The 19,965-nt window shown below is 37.2% G+C and overlaps 1 protein-coding gene across 13 annotated transcripts in view, besides 2 other annotated features; it reads left to right on the forward strand.

Moving 5' to 3' along the window:
- Positions 1–19,965, forward strand: part of MIPOL1 (mirror-image polydactyly 1) — a 354,425-nt gene that overhangs the window by 262,211 nt on the left and 72,249 nt on the right. The window lies entirely within an intron of this gene.
- Positions 6,608–6,752: an enhancer, noted in NCBI's record as "145 bp enhancer 271 fragment used in the MPRA reporter construct; PK_construct_1061". NCBI's record gives its function as "activates an SV40 promoter by MPRA in HepG2 cells {active_cell/tissue: HepG2}" and the evidence as "EXISTENCE:reporter gene assay evidence [ECO:0000049][PMID:23512712]".
- Positions 6,675–6,686: a transcriptional cis regulatory region, noted in NCBI's record as "FOXA motif; enhancer activity is reduced when this motif is scrambled". NCBI's record gives its function as "necessary for full MPRA enhancer 271 activity {active_cell/tissue: HepG2}" and the evidence as "EXISTENCE:site-directed mutagenesis evidence [ECO:0005528][PMID:23512712]".

A 19,965-nucleotide genomic window follows, 5' to 3' on the forward strand; every position in this document is an offset into this window, starting at 1 on the left:
TCAAGAAGTTAATACACCACAATCAAATGGGTTTCATTCCAGGGAGGCAAAGATGGTTCAACATATGCAAATCAACAAATGTAATTCACTACATAAACAGAATTAAAGACAAAAACCTTATGATCATCTCAATAGGTGAAGAAAAAGCATTTGATGAAATCCAACATCTCTTCATGATAAAAACCTTCAACAAACTAGGCCTTGAAGGAGCATACCTCAAAATAATAAGAGCCATATACAACAGACCCACAGCCAATATCTTACTGAATGGGAAAAAGTTGAAAGCATTTCCCCTAAGAACCAGAACAAGACACCCACTTTCACCCCTCCCATTAAACATAATACTGGAAATTCTAGCCAAAGCAATCAGGCAAGAGAAAGAAATAGAAGGCATCCAAATTGGAAAAGAGGAAATTAAATTATCCCTGTTCACTGATGACATGATCTTACACCTAGAAAACCCTGATGGCACCTCCCAAAGACTCCTAGATTTGATAAATGACTTCAGTAAAGTTTCGGGATACAAAGACAATGTATAAAATCAGTAGCATTTCCATATACCAATAACATTCAAGCTGAGAACCAAATCAAGAACTCAGTCCCATTTACAATAGCCACACAAGAAATAAAATCCTAGGAATATGCTTAACCAAGAAGGTGAAAGACCTCTACAAGGAGAACTACAAAACACTGAAGAAAGAAATTCTAGGTGACGCAAATGGAAAAACATGCCATGTTCATGGATCAAAGAAATCAATATCATTAAAATGATCATATTCCCCAAAGGAATATACAGATTCAACATAATTCCTATCAAATTACCAGCATCATATTTCACAGAATTAGAAAAAAATACTCCTAAAATTCACTTGCAACCAAAAAAGAGCCTGGATAACCAAAGCAATTTTAAGCAAAAAGGACAAAGCTGGTGGAGGCATCACATTACCTGACTTCAAATTATACTACAAGGCTATAGTAAACAAAACAGTATGGTACTTGTATTAGTCTGTTTTCACACTGCTGATAAAGACATACCTGAGACTGGGCAATTTACAAAAGAAAGAGGTTTTTGGACTTACAGTTCCACATGGCTGGGGAGGCCTCACAATCATGGCAGAAGGCAAGGAGGAGCAAGTCAAATCTTATGTGGATGTCAGTGGGCAAAGAGAGAGCTTGTGCAAGGGAACTCTCATTTTTAAAACCATCAGATCACATGAGACCCATTCACTATCATAAGAACAGCACAGGAAAGACCCTCCCCTATAATTCAGTCATCTCCCACCAGGTCCCTCCTACAACCCATGGGAATTACGTGAGGTACAGGATGAGATTTTGGTAGGGACACAGAGCCAAACTATATCATTCTGCCCCTGGCCCCCTCCCAAATCTCATATCTTCACATTTCAAAACCAATCATGCCTTCAGAACAGTCCCCCAAACAGTCTGCTTATGAGCTGGTAAAATCAAAAGCAGGTTAGTTACTTCCTAGATACAATGGGGGTTCAGGCATTGGGTAAATACAGCCATTTCAAATGGGAGAAATTGGCCAAAACAAAGGGGCTATAGGACCCATGCAAGTCCAAAATCCAGTGAGGCAGTCACATCTTAAAGCTCCAAAATGATCTCCTTTGACTCCATGTTTCACATCCAGGTCATGCTGATGCAAGAGGTAGGTTCCCAGAGTCTCAGGCAGCTCCACCCTGTGACTTTGCAGGGTACAGCTTCCCTCCCAACTGCCTTCATGGGCTGGTGTTGAGTGTCTGCAACTTTTCTAGGCACACAGTGCAAGCTGTCAGTAGATCTACCATTCTGGGGTCTGGAAGACAGTGGCCCTCTTCTCACAGCTCCACTAGATGGTGCCCTAGTAGAGACTCTGTGTAGGGGCTCCCACCCCACATTTCCCTTCTGCACTGCCCTAGCAGAGGTTCTCCATGAGGACCCCATCCCTACAGCAGACTTCTGCCTGGGCATCCAGGCATTTCCATACATCTTCTGAAATCTAGGCAGAGGTTCCCAAACCTCAATTCTTGACTTCTGTGCACTCACAGGCTTAACACCACGTGGAAGCTGCCAAGGCTTGAGGCTTGCACCCTCTGAAGCCATGGCCTGAGCTCTACATTGGCCCCTTTCAGCCACAGCTGGAGTGGCTGGGATGCAGGGCACCAAGTCCCTAGGCTGCACACAGCACGGGGACCCTGGGGCTGGCCCACAAAACCACTTTTTCCTCCTAGGCCTGTGGGCCTGTGATGGGAGGGGCTGCTGTGAAGACCTCTGACATGTCCTGGAGACATTTCTCCATTGTCTTGGGGATTAACATTTGGTTCCAAGCTACTTATGCAAATTTCTGCAACTGGCTTCAATTTCTTCTCAGAAAATGGGATTTTCTTTTCTATTGAACTGTCAGGCTGCAAATTTTCTAAACTTTTATGCTCTGTTTCCTTTCTGAAACTGAATGCCTTTAACAGCACCCAAGTCACCTCTGGAATGCTTTGCTGCTTAGAAATTTCTTCCACCAGATACCCTAAATCATGTCTCTCAAGTTCAAAGTTCTACAAATCTCTAGGGCAGGGACAAAATGCTGCCAGTCGCTTTATTAAAACATAACAGGAGTGACCTTTTCTCCAGTTCCCAACAAGTTTCTCTTCTCCATTTGAGACCACCTCAGCCTGTACCTTATTGTTCATACCACTATCAGCATTTTTGTCCAAGCCCTTTAACAAGTCTCTAGGAAGTTCCAAACTTTCCCATATTTTCCTGTCTTCTTCTGAGCCCTCCAAACTGTTCCATCCCCTGCCTGTTACCTTATTCCAAAGTCACTTCCACATTTTCGGGTATCTTTTCAGCAATGCCCCATTCTACTGGTACCAAATTACTGTATTAGTCTGTTTTCATGCTGCTGATAAAGACATACCTGAGACTGGGCAATTTACAAAAGAAGTAGGTTTATTGCACTTAGCGTTTCACATGTCTGGGGAGGCCTCACAATCATGGCAGAAGGCAAGGAGGAGCAAGTCACATCTTATGTGGATGTCAGCAGGCTAAGAGAGAGCTTGTGTAAGCAAACTCCCATTTTTAAAACCATCAGATCTCATGAGACCCACTCACTCACTGTCAGAAGAACAGCACAGGAAAGACCCACCCCCGTAACTTAATCATGTCCAACCGGGTCCCTCCCACAACACATGGGAATTATGTGGGCTACAGGATGAGATTTGGGTGGGGACACAGAGCCAAATTATATCAGTACAGATAGAAAAATAGACATATAGATCAATGGAACAGAACAAAGAACCCAAAAATAAAGCTGCATGCCTACAACCAACTGATCTTTGACGGAGTTGATAAAAATATACAGTGGAGAAAGGACACACTATTCAATACATGGTGTTGGAAAAATTGGATAGCCATATGCAGAATAGTTAAACTGGACCCCTCTCTCTCACCATATACAGGAATTAACTCAAGATGGATTAAAGATTTAAACATAAGATCTGAAACTATGAAAATCCTACAGTAAAACTCAGAAAAACTCTTCCGGACATCAGCCTAAGCAAAGATTTTATAACTAAGACCTCAAAAGCAAATGTGACAAAAACAAAAATAAACAAATGGGACTCAATTAAACTAAAAAGCTTCTTGACAGCAAAAGGAATAATCAACACATTAAACTGACAACCTACAGAAGAGAGGAGATATTTGCTGTAAACTATGCATTGAACAAAGGACTAACACCAAGAATCTACAAGAAACTCAAATAGCTCAACAACAACAAAAACAACCCAATTAAAAATTGGGAAAAGGACATAAACAGATATTTCCCAAAGGATGACATACATGTGGCCAACAAACATATGAAAACAATACTCAAATCACTAAACAGAAGAAGAACGCAAATTAAAACCACTATAAGATACCATCTCACACCAGTCAGAATTGCTATTATAAAATGTCAGAAAACAAAGATGGTAGCAAAGATGTGGAGGAAAGGAACCACTATACACTTTTCGTGGGAATGTAAATTAGTACAACCTCTATGGAAAACAGTATGGAGATTTCTCAAAGAAATAAAAATGGAACTACCATTCAGCACAGCAATTCCACTACTGGATAATCTACCCAAAGAAAAAGACACCTGCACTTGTGCATTTATCTCAACACTAGTAGAGCCGTGGACTGAACCTAAGTGTTCATCCAGTGGATGACTGGATAAAGAAAATGTGGTATATATACACTATGGAATAGTACACAGCCATGAAAAAGAATGAAAATATGTCATTTGGAGCAACATAGATGGATCTCGAGGTCATTATCCTAAGAGAAATAACTCAGAAACAGAAAATCAATTACTCTGTGTTCTCATAACTTATAAGTGGGAGCTAAACAATGGATACACGTGGAAATACAGAGGAGAATAATAGACACTGGGGATTCCAAAGTGGGGTAGGAGGAAGAAGGAGGTGAGGGTTGAAAAATTGCCTGTTGGGTACAATGTTCACTATTTGGGTGGTGGCTGTACTAAAAGCCCAGACTTCACCACTATGCAATGTATCCATGTAACAGAACTACCCATGTATCCTCTGAATCCATAAAAATAAAAATGAATTTTTAAAAAGCTGGCTGGTAAAGGTTAGTTAATGCAACTTATCTTTTCACATATAAGCAATTGTGTTTCAGTGCCAGAAAAAAATTTTAATTTCCTGTTAAAGTGCCTATTTTAGCATCAGTGTAACAAATTTTTGTTTTTTTATTTCCATGAGTAATTGGTTACCTGTGCAGCCTGAGTTAACTAGCATCATATTTTCAACTTATTTCAGTGAAGTTTTGTTATCATTTTAGATTGAAGCCCCAGACATGTATCTGCTGGCCTCTCCCTTGTTCTGATCTGACGTTGATCTCTGGCCAAAATTTGAGAAGTAGGAAAATAACTTTATAATAAACATTTCAGAGATCAAAATCAATATAGACATGTCTTCAGGAGGCATAAACCAGAAATACTAATTTAAAAACATGAATATTCCATGCTGCCTTTCCGAACTTTGATATACTGTGGTCAGCAATGTACAAAATGAAACTCCTTGAAGTTGGAACATGGTGGAACATGGTGCCTTACTCTTTCAAAGTGATACAATACTGAAATAATCTTTAGACAGGATTTTAGGAACAATTACATTACACTTAGACCATCAACAGCATCTTAAAAACTAACTTAATATGTCACTAATAGTAGGAAACTATTTCTCTTCCATACACCAGCTATGCAGGCAAAAACATATATAAATATTCCTTTCAGACCAACACAAGGTAAAATAAGCAGGTCTTCCTAGTGTTGAGAAATGCACCATTATCACCTCAAATCTGGCAAATTTGTAATATTTGTTCATTCTGAAAACTGAACTTTAATGATTTTATTCTAATAATTTTTTCTTTATTTTTTCAATTTTAACCCTTTTGATATTGGATGCATCTTGTAGAGTCATTAATTCAATGTAGTATTTTCAGTCACCAGAACTTATTTCATACTTAGGAATGTAATTTGTGACTTTCTACAATTAGGCTATTAAAATTCCCACCTCGTAAGTCAGTCAATCTTTAGTAAGTGTCTTAAATTTTAGATTGAAATACATTTAAACTATTTCTCCTGCCAGAATAATAATAAAAAGTACTACTAACTCCCTTCCCAATCTGTAAGCATTAAATTAGTGTAAATTTAAAGAAATTAGACTCATTTCTAGACAGGACCTAAGCAATTATCAAGTATTCTAATAAAACTTAAATCTTAGGATATTTGTTTTATTTATTTAAAGAATAAAACTGCTAGTTTTTTTGCTTAGCTAGGAGTTAAATTAGATAAAACAAGGGGCTCAACAGATAATTTAAAAAGTCAATAGGCAAAGCCCAACCTGTACTATGTTGAATAAAAAGCAAAAATCCAAATGTCTTCTGATTTTTCCAGAGTGTCTTGCAACAGAAATTTTATAACATTTCCTTATGACAGCAGCTGTACAACAGGTTTTGAACCAGTCTAGTGTAGTGTTTAGTAAAGTGAAAGGGGTTGGGTTGTTTTATTCTTTTTAAGTTGGCATTTTACCAAAAGAGAAGTTTGGTGGTTGTTATTTTTCCCTCTTATGTTTAAGTGACAAAGTACTTGATTAAAGTGAACATGATTTTATATTAATTCTGATTTGTTCTTTTTCTGAGGAAGATAATAAAATGAAATAATCCAAATGCTTTTACACCTACACAGTATATTGCTGAGCAAATTATTTATGGAATGGAAGGCAAGATAAAGTTGCTTTTAAGAATCCTTTAACATATCAGTTTGATAACTAGCAAAACACCTTTACAGCCATTAAATATTTACCAAGACTTGGCTTTGGACAGGGGGGCAGTTTAGTGCACCAAATTTCACTCTATGCAATGCCATTGATTAGCTATCAGGAGGACATAGTTAATAAGTAACTTCAGGTATTACATGTAGAGCACTCTACATTCTTGTCAAATCTTTTCGCTGAAGATGACCTGAAAAAAAGTCAGTTACAACCAGCATTCACCCCACCAATGATTGCACAAGCACAACTTTGAAAGAAATAAAGGCCAGGCAAATCAGTTGAGCAGTACTTAGGCAATCTTTCCTAGCAACTGTTGTCATTGCTGCTGGACTTTAGAACTGAACATGTTTACATTTAATTAGAAAGGACACATAGTTTACAGCACAGTAGCTATCAATATCAGATCAGAATTGATTTCCGCTTTCTCCCCAGTGATTGCTTCCTTCAAGCTAATTAAAAAAGGCATATAATCAAATGGCTCACATAAATTTTAAAGTAAAGTAAACAATATTTCCTGGTGATCAAAACAAAAGTAAATGACATTCATCCTTATCATTAGCTACATTTTTTGAAATAATTCTGTTGCTTATAAATGTGATATAAAGCATGTTTAACATTATCAGACTGCAAAGAAGAAACCTCAATGAATGTTTTACTAAGTGCTTTAGCTCTCAAAGAAACAATAACCTTAATTTTATCTTTATAACCCTAAAACCTGTAGATAAAGCAATCTGATAGTACCTTGAGTTGACTTTGTTCAACTGTTCAATTTTCACATATTGTACAGAAAAACTGCTGAAAAATATAATGAAATAAATAACAACTTGGTTTTCTTTTAAATAAAGTGCATACAGCACTTGCATAATTTGCTTAAATTAGGGATCATCTTGGTGTAAATGATTAACACTTCTCTATAATTACTGTAGGCAAAATCATCAACAAAATTATGATAAATATCATTTTTTATAACTCCCTGTCTATTCTCTATAAAGAAACCTTCAAATTTCACAGGCTAACATTGTGGCAATTATAATAAGTTGTGGTGAAGTGATTTTAATATAGGAAATGTAAACGGAAGTAGAAGTTACCTTCGGGAGAATCACAGCCTTTCTTCCTTATCTATGGGATCTGCTATGCAATAGCACATCTAGAATGGAAGGCCATCAAGACTTAAGGAAATACAGATTGTGAGCAGGTCTTAAGAAACATTAATTAACTAATTCACAAATATTAAGCAGTCTTTGAGGTGCTAAAGATAAAATGGTGAGTAAAACCTCTATAAGGTTAGAGATTTTTGGCCGGGTGCGGTGGCTCATGCCTATAATCCCAGCACTTTGGGAGGCTGAGGTGGCGGATCACCTGAGGTCAGGAGTTGAAGACCAGCCTGGCCAACATGGTGAAAAGCCGTCTCTACTAAAAATACAAAAATTAGCCAGGTGTGGTGGTGTGCGCCTGTAATCCCAGCTACTCAGGAGGCTGAGGCAGGAGAATCACTTCAACCCGGCAGGCAGAGGTTGTAGTGAGCCGAGATCATGCCACTGCGCTCCAGCCTGGGTGACAGAGTGAGTCTCCATCTCAAAAAAAAAAAAAAAAAGAGAGATCAGAGATTTTGATCGGCTTTGTTTACTGTTGTATCCCCAAGCATTTTCTATGTGACAATATAGTATATAAACATATGTTTACATATACGTGTGTGTGTGTGTGTGTGCAATTGTGTGTGTGTAGTTGCTCAATAAATGTTTATTGAATAAATGCCGCTTTCAGGAATTATTTCACCACAAGTAAATGTTTACTTAACTGCCAGGGGGCTTCCAGTAGCACTTCTTTTCAGCATTCCAGGAAAACCACTGAAATCCACAATGATATTATAGTAATGAGAGTCAATGTAACATCCCCTTCCAGGATACATTAATTCATGAAGTTAGTTTTGCTTACTTTTCTTTCTTTCATTTCCTTTTGAAATCTTGGGGTATTTTTAAATTATTCTTAGTGTCCAGAAAGTAATTAGTCTGTAATCCACATTGGTTAACGATAGACTAGTCCTAAATATCCATACCTTATCTTCTGCAGGGCATATGCAAATCACAGATTCTTGTCATCCACTAAAACATAAAAAATTAAGAACAACATGAAACAGGTTTAAGCAACAAGTTATTAATTTATCTATTTCACAAATATTAAACCCTTTTCTAGGTAGTAGACAGAAATTAAATGGTGAAAAGACAGTTTCTCATGGGGTTTACTCTTTATCCGGTTGAAAGGTCTGAGTACTATGGGAGAACATGAGGGGATGACCTAAGCTGGACACTAGGTCAGATTTCTTGGAGACTCTCCTATCCAAGCTGAGATCCAAAGGATATGTAGGAGCTAGTTAAGTAAAGGGAGGTAGTGTCAGTGTTCTAGGGGACTTGAAGGTTATTCATCCTGACTGGAGTGTAGAGGTAAATAGGTGAATGATGAGAAATGAGCTATAAAGAGAGGCAAGAAAAGCTTTGTAAATGAGGTTTAAGAAATTTGGACTTTATCCTAGGAACAGTGAGGAGCCATCAAAGTGTTTTAATCCAGGGAGTGATATATTCATATTTGTGCTTTAGAAAACTCACTCAAGGCAAAGAACAACTGAAAAGACTATTGTGGTTTATTAGTCCATTCTTGCATTGCTATAAAGAGATACCTGAGACTGGGTAATTTATAAAAAAAGGAGGTTTAATTGACTCACAGTTCTGCAGGCTGTGTAGGAAGCATAGTGGCATCTGCTTCTGGAGAGGCAACAGGAAGTTTCCAATCATGGCAAAGGCAAAGGGGGAGCAGATATGTCACATAGCTAGAGCAGGAGGAAGAGAGAGAGAGAGCAGGGGGGTGCTACATACTTTTAAACAACCAGATCTGGTGAGAACTCACTCACTATCACAAGAACAGCACCAAGGAGTGGTACTAAACCATTCATGAGAAACCACCCCCATTATCTAATCACCTCCCACCAGACCCCACTTGCAACACTGGGATTACAATTTGACATGAGATTTGGGCAGGGACACAGATGCAAACCATATCATGTGGTAATTCACTTGAAAGAATAATGGCGGTCACTCTAAATTAAGATGGTGATAATGGGGCTTGCTATGGTTTGAATGTGTCCCCCAGAAGTTTATGGATTGGAAATTATTGCCACTATAACAATATTAAGAGGTGGGCCTTTAATAGGTGATCCAGCCATGAGGGCTCTGCCCTCATGAATTGCTTAATGCCATTATCATAGAAGAAGGTTAATTATCTTAGCAGTGCACTCCTAAAAAAAAGGATAAGGTCAGCCCCCATTTTCTCTCTCTTGTGTGTCCACCTTCCACCATGGGATGACCCTCACCAGATGCCAGTGCCATGCTCTTGGACTTTCCAGCTTCCAGAGCTAAATGAACTTCTATTATTTGTAAACTACCCAGTCTGTAGTTTTCTGTTATAGCCACAGAAAATGGACTAAGATGGGGATGGAAAGAAATTGAAAGATGCAAAGGAGATTTATGTGTAAAACAGCATAATTAGATTGTGAGGTGAGAGATAAATATTAAGGATGATGTATAGGTTTCTGCATGAACAACTGAGTAGATGGTGATGCCTAAGGAAAGGAGGAAGAAGAGAAAGAGCCAATTTGCAGAGGGGTATGAAATGAGATCATGAGTTCAATTTTAGACATTGAATTAAGATATTTGAAGAATGGTCACGTGGAGATGTTTATGAGGTGGTTATGAGGATCTGTTGCTTAGGATAGAAATCTGAGCTGGAGAGAAATACCTCAGAGTAAAAGGTCATTAGTTATATAGATGATCAAGTGAAGCCACCTGATATGGCTTGGATTTGTGTCCCCGCCCAAATCTCATGTTGAATCGTGATCCCCAGTGTTACGGGAGGGGCCTGGCGGGAGGTGATTGGATCATGGGGACGGATTTCCCCCTTGCTGTTCTCGTAATAGTGAGTTCTCATGACACCTGTTTGTTTTAAAGTATGTATCACCTCCTCTTCCTCTCTCTCTCCTGCTCTGCCATGTGAAGATGTGCCTGCTTTCCCTTCACCTTTCGTCATGCTTGTAAGTTTTCTGAGGCCTCCCCAGCCATGCTTCCTGCACAGCCTGCAGAACTGTGAGCCAATTAAACCCCTTTTCTTACAAATTACCCAGTCTCAGGTAGTTCTTTATAGTAACGTGATAACAGACTAATACACCGTCAGCGTGGGTTGCAATCAGGAGAGAGTAGGTAGAATGAGAAGACACAAGTTAAAGGTTGAGTAGAGGACGAGAAGCCCCCAAAGAAGACTGAAGAGCATCAAGGAAAGTAAGCAGAAACCAGAAGTGTATTGTCATGGAAATCAGGGAAAAAAGGCATTTCTAGAAAGAATTGGTCTCAGGTCAAATAAGATACTTGTAAAGTGTCTTTTAATGCAAAAGAGAGTAATAGACACTGGCAACTCCAAAATGAGGGATGTTGGGAGGTGGGTGAGGGTTGAAAATTTACCTATTGGTTATAGTGTTCACTGTTTCGGTAATGGGTATACTAAAAGCCCAGAATTCACCACTACACAATGTATCCATGTAGCAAAACTGCACATGTACTCACTGAATCTATACAAATAAATTTTTAAGTGTCTTTTGTATTTAGTAACATCATTGGAACACTTGGGGACAGAGAAGATTATAGACCCTTGAATTGAAGTTGAGAAGATAAAGACAGCAAACATAGACAATTTGATTCTAAATGAGATGATCCCAAACCAGGTCCAAGAGAAATCCCATCTTTTAGAATAAACAGGAATATTTTCATAATTTAGTGAGTCAAAATCCTTGACAGAAAACGACAACAAAATCTTCTAAGTAGTATGTCTGGTCCAATTAACTAAAAAAGTAAGTTCCTGGACTTTGTTATATTTCCCGGATTTGAGCCTCAGTATATCTCCATGTTCTCTTAGAATTCCAAAGCTATCCTACTCAGAGGAGGGTGAGGTGAGGCTTAACAGTTAGAGATCTGGTGTCTTATTAGAGAATGGGAACACTTGTAGCTATACAAACTGCTCCCTAGCCAGAGCAATTTTTTTGAAAGGCAAATATTCTTATGCTTTCTTTAAAATCCTTTAGTAGTTTCTCATTTGCCCTATGATAAAGACCAAAATATTCTATATTTCAGGAAGATTCTATGTGATCTGATCCCAACCACTTTTTTTTAATGCTCTCTGAACACTGCCTAACTGGGATTCATTTAGCTCTTCAGCCATCCTTTCTCTTACCATAGGCCTTTGTACGTGTTCCTCCCTGTACCTGAAAAATTTTCATCCACCCTCCTTCAAATTAATACCTACTTTTATCTTTAAATCTCAACTCAAATGTCACCTCCTTTGCTTTGTAGCATTTATAATAATTTGAAACATGTGTTTAGTCAGTACTCATCTCTAGCCCTAGCAAAGCGCCCAGCACATAGTAGTCACTCATTTATAGGAGGAAGGGAAGCAGGGCCTGAGGTATCTCAATGCAGTGACCCAATTCCAAGTAAAACAAAGCATATGCTTACAGTAGGCATGTACCAGCTGAACCCTATATTCAGCAATTCAATTAATCAAGTAGCTATTTAGAAACAGCTGTGTACAAGCACTGTGCATTTGTAGTAGTCTCATAAAATGAGTTTATTTAGACCTCATATCTGAAATCAGCATCAGTGCTTGTCCCTAAGCTGTATATAATGTAAAATAAAACTATGTATTTAACAAGACTTGATTTACTTTTCCTAAGGGAGTTGGGATCATTAATAAAATTGAAAAATATTGGCCCTATGTAAGAACAATTGATTATTTGCTATTATTAGGCTGGTGCAAAAGTAATTTTTGCAAAAGTAAAATTACTTTTGTACCAGCCTATACATTTTTAGTATAAAAATATATTCATGTTGATGTTATAGGGCATAATTTCCAATTATGGAGAAACTAACTAGTGAGAGTGTGCAGAGCACCTCAAAAATTCTTTTGGCTAGAACTGACCCTTATGCAGATGGCACTATTCTTTTCTGACTAAGTACCCCCATCTAAGTAGAATTAGGATGAAAAATGATATGATAGCTTATTTTTAACTAAGTGTCTTCACTGAAAAATCTTGTAAAGATAATTTTATCTAGCCTTCAATACTAGGCAGGAATACATCAACATAGTGAGAACATCTTATTTTTTTTTGTAAGGCATCAACATCCTATTGTACAATTCTAATAAGTCCTATTCTGAGCTGGATTATGTTACCCTCTGAAGCAACACAGAATTCTGTAAACTGCCTCTTCAAATACTTGAAGAGATTTATCATAGACCTTTAATTTCTTCTCACTTCCTGCCCAGTATGTTTTCTCAGCAGTTTTCCATAAAACCCAATATGTTTTACAGACCACTCACTACCTAGTAAGCCCGCCTATGGAGGTGCTTCAATGTATCCCTATTATAAATTGTAACAGGCATAACTGAATTCAGGTCTGATTAGGTCCAATTTAGACACTGCTGTAGCTTGGCTGTTTGGCCCCTACAAGCCTCATGTTGAAATTTAATCACCAGTGTGGTGGTGCTGGGAGGTGGAGCCTAGTGGGAGGTGTTGGGGTTATGGGAGCAGATCCTGCGTGATCGACTTGGTGCCTTTCTCATGGTAATGAGTGAGTTCTCACTCTATTAGTTACCACTCTATTTGTTCTTTCTCGATTAAAGATAGTTGTTAAAAGCATCCCACACCTCCCGCCTCTTTCTCCTGCTTCCTTTCTCACCATGTGATCTGTGTACAAGCCAGCTCCACCATGGGCAGAGGCAGCCTGAGGCCCTCACCAGAAGCCCAATTTTGAACTTGTCCAGACATAAGAACTGTGAGCCAAATAAACCTTTTTTTTTTCTTTAAAACGACCCCGCCTCAGGTATTATTTTATAGCAACACAAAGCAAATGAACACAGACACTATACTATTGCTGGCCATGTTTGACTGTTCCTTTGTATCTTGTCTAGTTTCACTCCTACTGAATTTGGTTAGCCAAATTCAGTTTTCACTCCTACTCTGTGTGTGTGAATGGGAGTAGGAGTGGAGCAGGGAATTCAATTAATAGACTTTCTTTATTAGAACAGTTTAGACTCACGGCACAATTAAGGAAGTAGCACAGAGTTCCCACATAACCTCCCCAGCACACAGTTTCCCCTTTTATTAATGTCTTGTATTGATGTGGCACATTTGTTAAAACTACTGAAAACATACTGATGTATTATCATTAGCTAAAGTCCATAGTTTACATTAAAGTTCACTCATTATATTGTACAGTTCTATGGCTTTGAAAAATGCAAAATGTCACATATTCATTATTACAGTATCATAGAGAGTTTCACCATACTAAAATACTAAAATACTAAAGCACATACTAAAATGTGCTTTTTATGCATGCCCATACTTTTTATTTGTCTCCCTTCCTCTGAATCCCTAGCAACTACTGATCTTTTTAATGTCTCTATAGTTTAGTTTATTCCACAATGTCATATTGTTGGAATCACACAGTATGTAGCCTTTTGAGACTGTCTTCTTTCACTAAGCAATATGCATTTTAAGTTCCTCCATGTATGTTCATGGCTCGATAGTTCTTTTTTATCATTAAAAAATATTCCATTGTACAGACACATTATAGTTTGTTTATATATTCACCTATTGAAAGACATCTTGGTTGTTTCCAATCTAGGGAAATTATGAATAAAACTAGTATAAACATACTTGTGCAGGTTTTTGTATGGACGTAGGTTTTTATTGGGTAAAAACCTTGGAGCATGATTGCTAGATCATATGGTGACATTCTTTGGCTGTGTCCCCACCCAAATCTCATCCAGAATTGTAGCTCCCGTAATCCCCATGTGTCGTGGGAGGGGAGGGACCCGGTGGGAGGTAATTGAATCATGGGAGCGGATTTTTACCATGGTGTTCTCGTGATAGTGAATAAGTCTCATGAGATCTAATGGTTTTATAAAGGGCAGTTCCCCTACATAGTCTCTTGTCTGCCACCATGTAAGACATGCCTTTGCTCCTCATTCACCTTCAGCCATGATTATGAGGTCTCCCTAGCCATGTGTAACTGTGAGTCTATTAAACCTCTTGTTCTTTATAAATTACCCAGTCTCAGGTATATCTTTATTAGCAGTGCAAGAACAGACTAATACATATGGTAAGGCTATATTTAGCTTTGAAAGAATCTGTCAAACTATCTTTCAAAGTGGTTATACTATTTTGCATCCCCACCAGCAATGAATGAGATGGATGAGGATGTTGTACAACAATTGGTATTTTTAGGTTTTTGGATTTTTGCCATTCTAATAATTAGTGTGGTAGTATATCATTGTTGTTTCAATTTACAATTCTCTGATGACATGTTGAGCCTCTTATATGCTTACTTAACCATCTATATATTTTCTTTGCTTAAGTGTCTGTTGAGATCCTTTACTCATTTATTTTTATTTTTATTTTTATTTTTTTTTGAGACAGAGTCACTGTGTCACCCAGGCTGGAATGCAGTGGCGTGATCTCGGCTCACTGCAGTCTCCACCTCCCGGGTTCAAGCGATACGCCTGCCTCAGCGTCCTGAGTAGCTGGGACTACAGGCATGCACCATCAGGCCTGGCTAATTTTTGCATTTTTAGTAGAGACAGGGTTTCACCATGTGGGCCAGGCTAGTCTTGAACTCCTGACCTCAAGTGGTCCACCCGCTTCTGCCTCCCAAAGTGCTGGGATCACAGGCTTACTCATTTTTAAAATTAAGTTATTTATTTTCTTATTGTTGATTTTAAAGAGTTCTTTGTGTATTTTGAATACCAGTCCTTTATTAGTATGTGTTTTGCAAGGATGTTCTCCTATTTTGTGAATTGTCTTTTCATTCTCTTAACAGTGCCTTTTGTAGCACAGAAATTTTTACTTTTAATGATGTCCAACTTACCTGTTTTTTTCTTTCATAGATCATGTTTTTGGTGATACATCTAACAACTGATCATCAAGCCCAAGGTCACCTAGATTTTCTCTTGTTTTCTTTAAGAAGTTGTATAATTTTTTGTTTTGCTGTTATAGTCCTGTGGTCCATCTTGAGTTACGTTTTGTGAAAAGTGCAAGGTCTTTGTCTAGATTCATTTTTTCATGTGGATATCCAATTGTTCCAGCACTATTTGTTGAAAAAAAAAGAAACTATTCTTTGTCCATTTGGTTGCTTATGCTACTTTGTCAAAGATCAGTTGACAGTATTTGTGTGGATCTGTTTCTGGGCTCTCTTCTCTTCCATTGATCGATTTTTCTATTCTTTTGCAACACAATGCTGTCTTGATTACCATAGCGGTATAGTAAGTCTTGAAGTTAGGTGGTGTCAGTCCTCCAATATTGTTCTCCTTATATACTGAGTTGACTATTTGGGGTCTTTTGCCTCCCCACATAAGCTTTAAAAATCAGTTTGTCAATACAAAATAATTTGCTGGAATTTTTATTGGGATTGTGTTGCATGCACAGATCAATTGGTAAGAACTGGCATCTTAACAATACTGAGTTATCTTATCCAAGACTCAGTTTATTTACACCTTTGATTTCTTTCATCAGAGTTGTATAGGTTTCCTCATATAGATCTTGTAAATATTTTATTGGATGTATACCTAAGTATTTCTCTTTTCGGCATTAATGTAATCTCAAATTAAAATTGTTCATTGTTGCTATATAGGAAAGCAATTGACCTTAAAATAATCTTATGTCCTGCAATCTTACTATAATCACTAATTATTACTAGTTCCAGGAGTTGTTTTATTTGTTTGTTTGGTTGGTTGGTTGATTGGATGGTCTGGAATGTTTTTTTTCAATTTCATGGGATTTTCTACATAGCCAATCATGTCATCTGCAGAAAAAGACAGTTTTAATTCTTCCTTCCCAATCTTTATACCTTTCACTTTCTTTTCTTGTCTTACTGCATTAGCTAGGACTTCTAGTGCGATGTTGAATAGAAGTAGTGAGAGGGCACTTCTTACCTTTCTCTTGATCGTAGGGGTAAAGCATCTAATATCCTACCATTAAGTATGATAACCATATGGTTTTTATAGATGTTCTGTATAAAATTGAGATAGCTCCTCCCTATTTCTAGGTTGCTGAGAGGTTTTTATCATGAATGAGCATTGGATTTTGTCAGATGCTTCTAATTCTTTTTTATATGATTAATGATTTTTAGTCTTTAGACTATTTTGTGATGGAGTACATTAATTGATTTTTGAATGTTAAACCAGGTTTGCATACCTGGAATAAGTCTCACTTGGTCTTAGTGTGTAATTCCTTATATATTTTGTTGGATTTAATTTGCTAATATTTTGTTTAGGGTTTTTGTATCTATGTTTACTGGTTTGTAAGTTTTACTTTCTTGTAATGTCTTTTTTTTTTTTTTTTTTTTTTTGAGACGGAGACTTTCTCTGTCACCCAGGCTGGAGTGCAGTGGCGTGATCTCAGCTCACTGCAGCCTCCTCCTCCCAGGTTCCAGCAATTCTCCTGCCTCAGCCTCCTGGGTAGCCGAGATTACAGGCGTGTACCACACGTCCAGGTAATTTTTGTATTTTTGACAGAGACAGGGTTTCACCATGTTGGCCAGGCTGGTCTTGAACTTTTGATCTCAGGTTATCCACCCACCTTGGCCTCCCAAAGTGCTAGGATTACAGGCGTGAGCCACTGCACCCGGCCTCTTAACTTGGTTTTGGTATTAGGGTAATACTAGCCTCATTAATTGAATTAGATGGCGTTTCCTCTGCTTGTATTTTTTTGGATGAGATCGTAGAGAATTGACATCATTTCTTTCTTAAATATTGAGTAGAATTCACCAGTGGGCCTGGTGCTTCCATTTTTGGAATGTTATTGATTATTTTATTGAATCTGTTTAATACATAAATGTTTATTCGAATTATTTATTTCTCCTTGTATGAGTTTTGGTAGTTTGTGTCTTTCACAGAATTGATCTCTTTCATGTAAGTTATTAAATTTACAGGCATGGAGTTGTTCATAACGTTTTTCTATTATGCTTTTAATGTCCCTGAGATCAGTACAGATTGTGCATCCCTAATCTGAAAATTCAAAGTGTAAAACTTTTTGAGTGCTGACATGACATCACAAGTATAAAATAACACACCTGACCTCATGTGACAAGTCACATTCAAAATGCAGGGACACAACACACAGTTTATTCAGCATCCTCAAGAGAAAAAGACCCTCCCAGCCCATTCAGCTGCAATATATCTTTTCTGTGCGTACCCAGATTCCCCTACACAAGCACACCTACAAAGTGTAATAAAGTGGCATGTGTGCAGGCTGGATGCATGAACAGCAGGTCACTGTAATGCCCCACATGGGGCCAGGATTTACATACATTGATCACTGCGTGTTTTTGTTTTCTATTGCTTTGCTTATTCTCTGCTCTGTGGTATAAAGATATTGTTGAAAATGTCTAAATGGTCTGCAGATGCCCCATTGGGAACAATGATAAGAAAAAGAAGAAGCGTTTATGTTTATCTGTAGCTCAGAAAGTCATGCTATTGGAGAAACTGGACAGCAGTGTAAGTGTGAAATGTCTTGCAAAAGAGTATGGTGCTAGAATGACTACCATATATGACCTGTGTCACAGAAGGATAAGCCATTGAAATTCCGTGCTTAAAGTGATGAAAAATAGAATACTACATAAAGCTAAAAATGAAGACCTCAATCATGTATTGAAAGAGTAGATCCATCAGTGTTGAAGTGAATATATGACATGTAATAGTGTACTGGTCATGAAACAAGCAAAGATCTAGCACAATGAACTGAAAATTGAAAAACTGCAAATATTCAACAGGCTGGTTGCAGAAACAGAAAAAGAATGGTATTAAATTTTTAAAGATTTGTGGTGATAAAACATCTGATCACAAAGCAGCAGAGAAATTCATTGACAAATTTGCCAAGGACATTACTGATGAAAATCTGATGCCATCAAACTAAAAAGGAAGATAGCAAGAGATACCACAAAGTATCAACAAAACCACCAGAAAACAATTAGCAAAATGGCAGTAGTCTTTACTATCAATAATTACCATGAATTTAAATGGATTAAATAATCTTTAAAGAGGACATAGAGTGGCTGAATGAAAAAAAAACCAAGACCCAACTATATGCTATCTACAAGAGACTAACTTTACTTTTAAGGACACATAGACTGAAAGTGAAAGGATAGAAAAAGATATTCCACGTAAATGGATACCAAAAGATAGCGGGGGTAGCTATTCTTAGACAATTTAATTCAAAAGCTGTAAAAAATAGGAAATTATAATAATGATAGAGGAGAGGGTTTATCAAGAGAATGTAACAGTTGTAAATATTGTTTTAGACAATATAGACTTTAAGTCAAAAACTGTAAAAAAAAAGACAAAGAGGACATTATATAATGGTAAAGAGATCCATTTATCAAGAGGTTATAACAATTACAAATATATATGCATGCAACATCAGAATACCTAAATATATAAAACAGATATTAAAGGATCAGTGGAGAGATAAATTGCAACATAATAATAGCAGGGGACGTCAATATACCACTTTATTTTTTTTTGTTTCCAGTGGGGTTGGAGAATACCCCCACTTTAAACAATGGACAGATTATACAGACAGAAAATTAATAAAATATTGGACATGAACAACACTTTAGCCCAAATGGAGCTAAGAGAAATACACAGAACATTCAGTCCAACAGGAACACAATACACATTCTTCTCAAGCACACATGGAACATTCTCCAGGATAGATCACCTGTTGGAGCACAAAACAAGCCTTAGCAAATTTAAGAATATTGAAATCATATCAAGTATTTTTTTGACCACGTTAGTATGAACCCTAGAAATCAAGAACAAGAGGAATTTTAGGAAATTCACAACTACATGGCAATTAACATGCTCCTGAACAACCAATGCATATTGAAGAAATTAAAAGAAATATTTAAAAATATCTTGAGACAAATGAAAATTGAAACACAACATACCAAAGCTTATGGTGTAGAGGAAAGGCACTTCTAAGGAAATTTTACAGCAATAAATGCCCATATCAAAAAAGAAGACATATTTCAAATAAGTAACAAGATTTCTCCTCAAGGAACTAGGAAAAGAATAACAAACTAAGCCCAAAATTAGCAGAAGGAAGGAAATAATAAAGCTCAGAGCAGAAGAAAAATTAAGTACAGACTAGAAAAACAGTACAAAAGATCAATGAAACTAAGAATTGGTTTTTTAAAAAGATAAACAAAATCTACAAACCCTTATCTAGACTAAGAAAAAGAGAGGGAAGACTCAAATAATTAAAAATCAGAAATGAAAGAGGAGACCGTACAACTGCTAACACAGAAATACAAAGTAACATAAGGGACTATTATGAATAAATATATGCCAATAAATTGAATAACCTGGAAGAAATGGATGAATTCTTAGATAACAGAACCTACCAACACTGAATCATGAAAAAGTAGAAAATCTAAACAGACCAGTAATGACTATAAAGAGGTTAAATCAGAAATAAAAAAAATTTCATAAAAAGTTGCCCAGGACCTGACAACTTCACTGCTGAATTCAACCAAACATTTAA

Source organism: Homo sapiens, chromosome 14, assembly GCF_000001405.40.
Source record: "Homo sapiens chromosome 14, GRCh38.p14 Primary Assembly".
NCBI classification, from domain to species: Eukaryota; Metazoa; Chordata; class Mammalia; order Primates; family Hominidae; genus Homo; species Homo sapiens.